At 36.7% G+C, this 11,559-nt stretch overlaps 1 protein-coding gene across 1 annotated transcript in view; it reads left to right on the forward strand.

Moving 5' to 3' along the window:
• Positions 1-2,767, forward strand: part of APLF (aprataxin and PNKP like factor) — a 112,578-nt gene extending 109,811 nt beyond the window's left edge. Inside the window, exon 10 of the mRNA NM_173545.3 lies at positions 425-2,767. Within this exon, the coding sequence (NP_775816.1) occupies positions 425-627 (203 nt within the window). The 3' untranslated portion in view covers positions 628-2,767. The remainder of the gene's footprint in view (positions 1-424) is intronic.
• The last annotated feature ends 8,792 nt before the right edge of the window (positions 2,768-11,559 follow it).

The following is an 11,559-nucleotide window of genomic DNA, read 5'->3' on the forward strand; positions in this document are numbered from 1 at the left end:
CAGAGAAAGAGTCTTAAAGCATCCTTTTGGAAGTGACACACACTATTTCCACTCACATTTCTTTGAGCAATCACTGAGAAGTGAGGAAGTATAATCATATCACAGGAAGGGGCAGTGAATAATTGGGACAAAAATACATTCTACCACATGGGAAGATGGGATGTTGTGAATATGATTATGAGATTAAGGAACCATTATTATTAATCTCATGGGTCATTTTAGTTTCAGGAGCCTCATGGTAGGAAAAGTTAGAATAATAAATAACAAAGCATCATTTTAGTGCCGTTTCCAGAAATTTGTAGTGGTAAGCTATGCATTAATAAAATTAATCCTCTGGATGCAGAAAGACATTTTATAGGTAGATGTCTGTCATCCCAGGTTGAGTGGTGATTGATGTGTTGTGTACCAATCTTCTGTTTTGCAGTGAGAAATGTTTTAGATGAAGATAATGATAATGTTGGGCAACCCAATGAGTATGACCTGAACGACAGCTTTCTAGATGATGAGGAAGAAGACTATGAGCCAACAGATGAAGATTCTGACTGGGAACCAGGAAAGGAAGATGAAGAGAAGGAAGATGTGGAAGAGCTTTTGAAAGAAGCAAAAAGGTTTATGAAAAGAAAATAGTAACTAACTTCTGTAGTCATATCTGCCTTACATTTACTTTTTCTTTGTGGGAAAACATTTATGAACTAAGGAGGTACTTAAGTGACAGTTATTTTCCTTCTTTTGATAGTTAATGACTTTTACTACTGACTCTTTACAAATGAGACATTGAAACGTCAGCCTTCAGTATAATAGATGGAATTTTTTGTTGCCTTGCCTTTTCTTTCCTACTTAAAGCATCTGGAAATAGGAAGACAGAGAAGGTAGAGTAAAAATGGATATTTTTTATGTACTTTGTATATTGGTAATAAAAAGTAAAAGCCATAGGTTGCATAAAACTTTGGTCTTTTTAAATTTTTTTCCAAAGATTATGGAGTACTCTGCAAGTATAACCAGGCAAAGTACATGAAAACATGCCTCTTTTCATTGTTACTGAAGTAATTCTGTAAGCAGAACCAGGCTTTAAAAAATGCAGCCATTACATAATGGCGTTTTTTTTCTAGTACCTTAGATGTGAGCTTTGCAATTTCACTTACTACTTTTATCCTTCAAAACTTGGGAAGATTGGTTCCAAATGGGTACTGAAAATAGATTCAACTAGGCTGTAGAAGAGAAATGTTCACCATGTAGGGAATGTTATTTTGTGTTCCACATCTGCAATTTACTGTATGTTTGAATTTAAAAGTAAAAAAACTCAAAAAACTTGACCTTTTTTTTCAAACTAAAGTCCTAGCTGATTATTTTAACTCTCAGTGTGCTGTCTTTATATTAAGAATAGAGAAACGACATAACTTTCTCAAATGGCATTAGTTTTGCCTTAGTTTTTTTGACCTCAGATGAAAGTAGCAAGTTGTTTGCCAGTTGAAAGTTCAAGATTCTGGCCTCCCATATCAAGAAGAAACCACTTATTCTCCAGTTTTACAAAGTATCTTTCTGTATTTCTGTTCTAAAACTACTTTAAGCCCTATAATGCTCTTCATATTACGTGACTTTGAATTGTTAAAATGTAGTTTAGAATCTTTAATAACAGTTGGGTTGTGTACACAGAGCAGGAGATATTTATTGAAATCATAAATCACTAAGCCAAAAGAATCTTTGTTAAATGCTATTATTTTCTACTCTAAAGGAACCTAAAAATTTATATCTTAAAAGATCAAAACATATTTATAATAATATTTTCTCATTGCTTTAAAATATATCTCCCAGTAATTATACAATATTTAATATTTACTTAAACTGGAACAAGAATAAGATAAACATTTCTCTAGACTATAACCTATTATTCTGATTTTTATCTCTTATTGTTATTTGGGAACTATTTTTCCCCTTATAATGTCCCTTTAGCCTTGGTAGTATAACAAATCTACGAATGTAATATTTAACTTATTCTCATCCCTGCCACTAACTTAATCCTTGAAGTGTTACATAATCTACTCCTAGGTATATACCCAGAGGAATTGAAAACATTTCCACATAAAAACTGTACACAATGTCAATAGAAGCATTATTCTTAACAGCCAAAAAGTATAAACACCCAAAGTCTATCAACTATCAACTGGGTGAATGGATAAGCAAAACGTGGTATATCTGTGCAATGGAATATTATTTGGTCATAAAAAGGAATAAAGTACTGATACATGCTACAAGATAGATGAACCTTGAAGGCAAGTAAAAGAAGCCAGACACAAAAGGCCACATACTGTATGAACTCATTTATATGAAATTTCCAAAACAGGCAAATCCATAAAGACAGAAAGCAAATTTGTGGTTGCCAGGGACTTGGGGAGGAAGAATGGGGAGTGACTGCTAATGAGTATAGGATTTCCTTTTGAGTGATAAAAATGTTCTAAGATTAGATGGCAGTGATGGTTGCACAACTCTGTAAATATATTACAAACAATGCATTGTACACTTTCAAAGGGTAGATTTCATTGCACGTGAACTATATATTTCAATAAATCTGTCACAAAAAAGTAATGCAAAGGGTAATACCAGTCTTTTAGAAGGAAAAAAATATTTAATATCAAAGGATATTCTTCGTAGTAATGTAATAGTTCATGGTAGCTGCTTTTAACGATACAGTTTTAATGCAACTTTCATAATCATCCTGAAGACACTTTTGAGTATAACTATTGTATAAATAAATGTATAGCTTAATTGACTGAAGTGTAATGAAAATGAAAGTGTAATTGGACTGTGTTTAGATCTGTGTTTTCCAAAACAGAGGGAAAACCGGTAACATTAGGCTGTCAGTGGTCTCAAGAGCACCATTAACAAAGCTTGATTTTTTAAATTAATTGCTGTTCTATACAGTGGATAAGAGCCAATTCTCCCTGTCATGGTGTTCCTGGAACTGAAACTATATCCCAGCCTCCTCTGTCATGGTAAAAATTATCATATATACATTTCTCACCTATGTGCCTAATTTTAAAAGCAAATATTTTCTGGCTAAACTTTTGAGGGGGGATGGGTTTTCTAGGACCCTGGGAAACTGGAGACCTGAAGAGTTTTGGGGGACACTTGAACACTGACTTTGGTGTTTTCCCCTGGTTGAGGATGGCCCTATTGATACTGAGTTTCTAGAACTAGAGGATCCTAAACATTCATTGTAATGAAAGCAGATAGATTGTGAGCATAATTACTCCAGAATGTTGATGTAAAGCTGAGAGTAAATGGGTAGTTTCTTACAACTAATTGTTCAGTGTCACCAGCACACCTCACTGAGGGGGAAACTGTCCACCAGCACGCTGCATCCAGCCCTGCTCTGTGAGACCACCTCATTCCCATTCAGTCTCTTTGTTGGCCAGGAGTCCATAATGGTGTGTGCATGTGGGGGAGGGGGATCTTTTCCTGCCAATCTACAAACCTAGCCTACAAAGCTTCACCTCTACAATATGTACTGAAAGTAAAGTGATAAGGAATAATTATGATTGAGATTATTATTGGCCACCCTAATATAATGTACATAATAAACTTTATCATCATAAACAACCACATTTATACTCTGTTGTGCCCAAGATACTGTCTTAGGTGTCAGCAATTCAAAGAATAACATAGAGTCCCTATTTTCAATGTGCTTACTCTCTATTCTGGACAATAGGATATTTATTCATTCAGTGACAGTGACTACTAAATACCATGAAAGATACAAAAAAGAAAAAGAAATGGTATCTACAGTAAAAGATTTTACAAAGGCAATGAGGCAAGCATTCAAATAACATAGTGGATAGAATGGGACCAGTCAGAGAAGGAGAAGCTAGAGTGTAACAGAAATACCCCTCTGGCTGTATACTGAAGTATATACAGTCTCAGTCATGAGAAAATCTTGGTGTGATTGAGTTGCAGGATGAACTAACAGATTTTTTTATGGAACAAAATTTTTACTTGAAAGAATGACTGGCAGACATATTATGATTATTCAAACTTCAGTATTTGGCAGATGTTTTATCAAACATGAACTAAATGAGCCCTGTTTTCAAGGAAAACAACCAACAGTATTTGCTGTAATGCTGAAATTTGAGCTTTTAAGCAAAAATCAGAATTTTGGAAGAACTTGGATTCATCACCATTAGCTTGATAGCTTTTCAAAACTCTAAAAACTATTCTGATGATATTGTAGGTGATATGATATAATAAAATGTATCAATATTTGGAAGAGCTGCAAAACTTAGTAAGCCAACATTTTCCACATAACCAGTGTATGATGTTATAAAACCAGGCATGGGTAAGAGATCCAGTCAAAGTGTAAGATGAAGCAATGGACTTAATGTAACAGAGTCTGTTAAGTTCATTAATATGGTTTCAGATTCCATATTTCAACTAATCTTCCAGAAACTGCAATTTGTCTATTTTTGTGACATCAAGAAGAATATCCACCATTACCTGAAAAGCCTATTAAAATACTCCTTCCTTTTCAACTACATATCTGTGTAAGGCCTGGTTTGCTCCATGTACTTTAAGCAAAACAACATAGGAGAGCAGATACAGGAATCTACCTGTCTTCTAGAGAAGACAGACATTAAAGAGATTTGCAAAAATGTAAAACAATGCCATTCATCTGACTAAATTCTTTAAAATATATAATTATTTTTTATAAAATACATGTATCAGTGTGTAATGGGTTTACTCTTCTTTTTAAGTGAATTACTAAATATTTTAAAAATTTCTCAATTATAATCTCCAGTATGGTAACTGTCTACAAATACGACCCTCATAAACAAAAGCTTTTTGGGTTTCTCAGTAATTTTTAAGAGTGAAAAGACTCCTGAGGCTGAAAATTTTGAGAACCACTCCAGTAGGTCACTGTGCCATTCAGTTAGACTAGTTATGCTAGGATAACCCCAAAATCTCAGTGTCTTAACACAAGGAACATTTTCTTATGCCAAGATTTTCTGTGTTGGGTGACCCTCTAGGGCACTGTCTTCCATGTAGCAACTCAGCATTCCAGCATTTTACAGTCTCTGCCTTCTTGCAGTTGTATCATCTGGATCGTGAGACCTTCTTAATCATGACTGCAAGGGAATACAGAAAGTAGAGGGTTATAGTGTAATTAAAGGCTTCAGGCTGAAGTGACATCACTCCTGTTTGCAGCTCATTGGCCAGAAGTAATTACATGGCTTTAACCACTAGAAGGGGCTTGGGAAGTACAGTCTTATGGGTGTCCAGAAAAGATGAGAAACAGAGTGAACACTAGTAATGTCTACCACAGTCACCAAAGGAGTAAGTGGTAAAAGAGAGTTGAGGACAAGATATTTAGTGTCATAATTTAAGGGATAGGAAGATAGATAAAAAGATTCTTCAGAGGAATTAGAAGAAGAGGAATGTTAGGAACTTTCTGTGTCACGGGAGCTGAAAGTAGAATGAATATTAAGAAGGAAGAAGTAGTTAATATTGTCAGTTGCTATAGAATGGTTACACACCTAAGAACTGAGATTAGATTTAGCTTCCTACTTCACTGAGATAATTGAAGCTATTCAATGAGAACTTTTACAAACTCTCACCTGCATCTACCCACCTACCAGCTATTCTCAAATTCTTTATCTTCTCCCCCGGTATTATAGATAAATTGTTTATTATTTTATTTAAAATCATTTCCCTAGATCCAGGCATCTCTTACGTGCTTAAGGACATTACACTGGTAATTCCTCCCCCTCTCCCATCTCATCAGTTTTTTCCTATGTACTGATTCATTCCCATCACCATGTAAACTTAATAATATTTCTTCCATCTTAAAGAGAGACAAAAAAACTTTCCTTAATTCACTCCCTGCAACAGCTTTACTACCCTATTTATCTTCTCCCCTTAACAGGAAAATTCGTCAAAAGTGTTGTCTATACTTGCTGTCACCAGTGCCCATCCTTTAAGTCCTTAAAATTGTAACAGAAAAACATCAAAAGAACTAACATAACTAATTCCATTTTCATTTAAGGGACCTTTACCCATTGCTACACGTAGGCTAGGATAATTTCAGAGCACTGAGATTAAATGTGAAAACAGGAATCATGTAGTTTTTGAAACTAATTCTGTGATTATTGAGGAAGTATGTAAACAATTATGTTTTATTAAAGATTTATAGGTGCATTGTGACCTGACCAAGCACAAAGAAGTTCCCAAAGCCCTTGGACTCTTACTGGTGCCCACATATTTGTACTCATTGGTCACTTCTTTGTCCCAACCCCCTCCTCTTCCTTTTGCCCTTAACATAAAAGCAGCCTGAAATTTGTTCTGATTTAAGATGGTACTTTAGGACGTTAGTCGGCCATCTTCTCGGTTTACTGGCTTTCCAAAATTAAGTTGCCTTCCTTGCTCCAACTCCTTGTCTCCCTACTTATTGGCTGTTGTGCGATGAGTAGGATGAGCCTGAACTTGGTTACAAAATCAAGCCTTTCCCACCACCTTTTCCACTGAAACTGCTTTTGTCAGGTGCATCAGTGATTTCCACTCTCCTGAATCCTATGGTCATTTCTCAGCCCTCATCCTTCTCAATCTTTCCTCAACATTTGAAACAAAAGGTCACTTCCATCTCCTTGGAACATTTCCTTCACTTGACTTCCAGGAAATTAGAATGTCTTGAGTTTTCTACCCACCTTACTCCCAGTGTTCTTTGCTTGGTATTTCTTTTTTCCATGAACACTTAAAGTGTTCCAGGGCAGAGTCCTTGGTCCTAGGTTCCTTTTCCTCTCTACATTCATTTCCATGGTGATTTTATGCAATCTTGTGGCTCTTTTCCATATGCTGAAAACTCCTAAATTTGTATCTCAAGGAGAGACCTCTTCCCTAAGCTCCAAGCCTTTATATATCCAACTGCCTACCCAACATTTCCACTTGACTGTAGGATAAACACCTCAAACTTCACATGTTTAATACTGAATTCTAATTGTCCTTCTGAAACTTCTTTGCCCTTGCTCAGGCCACAAAACCTTAAGAATATTTATTCTTCAGTCCCACTTCCTTCAACAATCAGCAAAATCTTGTTGATTCTACTTTCAAAATATATCCAGAATCTGACTATATTTCTGCACTTCAACTGCTATCAACTTGGGCTCCCTGCTCCAACCTTTGGTCTCCTATAAGTTTATTCAGAGCACAGCAGTCAGAGTAATCCTATTACAGCTTAAGTCAAATCATATTACACCCTTGTCCCAAACCCTCCAGTGGTCTCCAGTCTCACTCAGACCAAAGCCAGAGTCTTTATTATGTCCTTTATTATCTCCCCAGCCTCACCTACTACAATTTTTCACTTTCTCTGATCCAGCTGGATTAGCCTCCTTATTTTTTCTCACATATGTTCCTGACTTCAGGTCTACGGCCTGGCTGTTCATTCTGCCTCGAATGCTCTTTCCCAAGATAATCACATGGATCAGACCATCACCTCCTTCAAGAGTTGTTCCCCTTGAGGGAAATGTCTAAGGCCTTACTTGGTCACCCTATTTGACATTTCTGCTTCCTCCACTCCATCCCCACATATACACTTCTGATCTCTTATACCTAGCTCTATTTTTTTCATAATATGTATTTCTCAGAATACTGTGTAATTTACCTCTGTTCGTTTTTCTTTCTCACTTTGCTAGAATGTAAACTTCATCAAGACAAGGGTATTTGTCCATTGTTTTCAGTGCCAAATTTCCAGTGTTAAGAACAGTGCCTAGAACATAACTGGTGCTCAATACATACTTGTTGAATGGATAAATGACTCTTTGGACATGAGTGATGATGACCAAAAGAGTAGCATGGGAGAAGCAAGATGTCAGGGTGTTCAGGAAGAAATGGTTGAGAAGAAATAAATGGATTGCAATCACTCTAGGGAAGTGTAGAGATGATAAAATCAGTAGAGGTTTGTTTTGTGTGGCATTGTTTTTACGGTGGGAACACACAGCATGTTTTATAGTCAGAAAGAAGGAATCTGCAGAGAGATTACAATGTTGTGAAAGTTAAGGAATGGGTACTTGTACTTCTGTTAGCATTTTTGTATTAGTTAAATTTATTAATACAGTGATCCTTAACCTAGCTGTGCATCAGAATCCCCTGTGAATTTCTTTAAAAAACAATAGGTGCTGGGTTCCATGAGAGACCTACTGGGTCAGAATCTCTCAGATGGGGCACTAGTATTAGTATTAAAATACACACACACACACACACACACACACACACACACACACAGCTTTCTGGTTCATGGATAAGATGCTGTTGAAGGACAGCTTTGGAAAGCAAGCAGTATAAGCCCACTTCTATATATCTCTAATGAGGAGTTCAGTCCAGGCCCAACAATGAAAAGCAAGCAGAGTTTGTGACGCCTCAAAAGAAAATTAATCATTCTGAAGTTTGGGATTAATCTGTGCGACTTTCATTTTTCATAAAGCATAAAAGATGGAAAGTCAAGAATAGAAGTAGCCAATATTCTTTGAAACCATAAAATTATACACACAGTAATTCCATCAGTGACACAGATTATTCTTGAGATTTTAACCTTCATTAGCTGTGAGTTTAGCGGCTCACATTGGTGCTAACTACACTGTCAGGAAACTTCCTTGTTTGTGCCATGGGTTTCATTTTGTCTGTGGAGCCCACAGTGGAAACCTCCTATGGTGTAATGAAATTAGAAACGAACAACCAAAGGACAGGAAAAATAAATCTAATGGATGTGATATTTTAATCCATCCTTCTGAGTAGATTAAAATCATATCTCTGGAAAAAAAGGCATCAGGTTGAACTTGTAAGCTGTTTAAAAATAAGCAACAATTAGAGTATTATGTTACTATTATGTAGCAAGTAATATATTTGAAGAAAAATAATATTGTCTTACATGTATAAGAAAAAAGATTAATAATAAATCAACTAAGTATTTTAGAGCTAGACAAAAGCAGAGCATCCGAATTAGCCAAGGATAGGATAGAATTAGTAAAATCTTTAGATAAAAGACTAAAAAAGGAAAACCCAACAGACTTGATCAATAAGAGAAAAAATAGAGACAACTCTTAGCAAAAAAAAAAAAAAAAAAAGACAAACATTAAAAATAAAAAGGGTTAGAACTACAAATATGGATATTTTAAAATTTTGTAAGAGAGTATGTACAACTTCATGTCAATTTGTAAATGTAGATGAATGTATGACTTTCTAAAAAAAATAACTTTCCAAAGTGTACTTTATAAGACATTAAAAAGGGTGAACAGATTAATAGCCACAGAGGAAATGGAAAGTATTCACGTTTCTACTCGTAGGATAGTACCAAACATTGGGAATTACAAATGAATTATATCAAACTTTTTTTCAGCAAATAATTTCCCGCATCTTCACTCTTCATCTTCCCACCCTCTTCTGGACAACTCCTGACATTCTGTGATATTCAGCATTCACCATAAACATTGCATGATTCAGTTCTCCTTGATATCTTGGTGCTTGGACTCTTCACTGTTGGCATCATTAGGTCAGCAGGTGAACACTCAGGATTGTTTCTCTTCTGTTAGTAGAGCACCAAAAGGTAAGAAGCCAGGAGGCTTTCTCCCCATGGTTCTCATCACTGGATAAGAAATGTGGGTTGAAGAACATGAGCTAATTAGGACTCCAGACAACCTCTGCCCCCCTTACCTCAGTGCTTAAGTGGGAGGACCAGAATCTTCCTAATTGTGTTAGTGCTAGCTTAAGGAAAGTATATCATTGTAATTCATCTCTTTTATTTTGAAAGAGAAATTTGTTGTTCCAAAACTGAGATTAAGCAAACTGTGTGCCCAGCACCCTTAATTCCATGCTGATAAAAGTCACTTTCCTTTGACAATGTTGATTACTAAGAGCTAACTGACAGAAGATAAAATCATGTTGCTTGCTAGGTCTAATTAATAGCCACAGATCAATCTGCCTGTTATTCTTAGATATAGCACTTGTTATTTTTAATTAATGGTTGACATCTCAAAATGGCATTAGTCGTCCATACCTAAATATTAACACATGCCTCCTGCTAAGGAGATGTCCGTTTTTTGACTTAGCAGGCTTACTGGCCTGTGAAATAAACAGCTGTCTGGAATTAGCAGTCTGGATGTTTATGTAGATATTCCCTAAGGAAGGATACATGTTTGTTTTCCCCAAACTTTTCTTTCAAACTAGCACACTGACTATTGTCCTCCTAAACCAATAAAAGTCATTAGCACTTCACCTTAGAAGTGTTAACGAAATAGTGAGATCAAGCCTGTTGGAGTGACAGTGTCGAGTTAATGACATTCCCTGCATCTCTCAACACGACATTACACCAACAGGAGCCACCATTGGTTCATTTTATTCTTTTTAATTTAATTTAATTATTATTATTTTTTAAGACAGGGTCTGGCTCTGTCACCTAAGCCAGAGGGCAATGGTACAATCACCATTGACTGCAGTCTCAAATTCCTGGGCTCAAGCAATCCTCCCGCCTCAGCTTCCCAAGCAGCTGGGACTACAGGCATGCCCCACCATGTCCAGGTAATTAAAAAAAAATTTTTTTTTTTTTGTAGACATGGGGTTTCCCTGTGTTGCCTAGACTGGTCTCAAACTCCTGGGATTAAGGGATCCTGCCCCCTTGGCCTCCCAAAGTACTGGGATTACAGGCATGAGCCATCGCACCCCACCTACTTGGTTCATTTTAAAGAAGAACATTTGTGTTTCCCTTGGTGGAGACCCTGGGGAGCTGCCTCACTGGCTGATTCCTTCTCTGGGGACAGTGCCGGCGCACAGAAGAGAGCCTCCAGGGGCCACGGCCCAGGCACATGACCTTACCCTTCTGACCTCAGCAACTGGTTTGGGGTGACCCCTTACGCTAGCAGGGCCAGTCGGGTGCTTTTTCTAGGGTTTTTTTTTTTTTTTTTTTGAGTAGATAAGGACAGGGACAAGGAGCGCCTCGTATCAGAGGCGCTCTCTACCACAGCACTCTGGAGAGCAGGTCCCCAGGCCTCCATTGCTGAGGCCTCAGAGCTGTCTGGTTCTCTGGCTGGTCAACTCTTCCTTTCATCAAACGACCCCAGCAGCTCTTCATATTTTCCTTAAGCTAGTCAGTCCTGTCTGTTACATACAGCATAAGGAGAAACAAACCAACTTTTAGTTATTACACTAGAGTTTAAATTAAGATTAAGCTATGTAATGAACACTATGGTGTCAATTAAGCAAATTTTGGTCATTGCTTGTTATGATCTTTCTTTTCCTTTCTCCAAAAGTTAGTAAGTAAGGAGTCAGGCTGACAGAAATGTTGCAAAGTTAATGTTTGTCTTTTAAAAGTTTGACAACGCTGTAACATGAAATTCTGGCATTTTGCCAAGTAATGAGTCTTATTTTGTTACACAGGTGCTATGTAAATGCATCCTGACTAAAAAAAAATGTTCTTCACATTTTCGGGGGGAATAAAAAAATGTTCTTCAGATCTTTGGACCACAGAGTGCAAAGTGTTGCACCAACATATATTAGCTTATTATTAGAGAGTTAAGTATAGCTTTA

This window comes from Homo sapiens, chromosome 2, assembly GCF_000001405.40.
Source record: "Homo sapiens chromosome 2, GRCh38.p14 Primary Assembly".
Taxonomy (NCBI): Eukaryota; Metazoa; Chordata; class Mammalia; order Primates; family Hominidae; genus Homo; species Homo sapiens.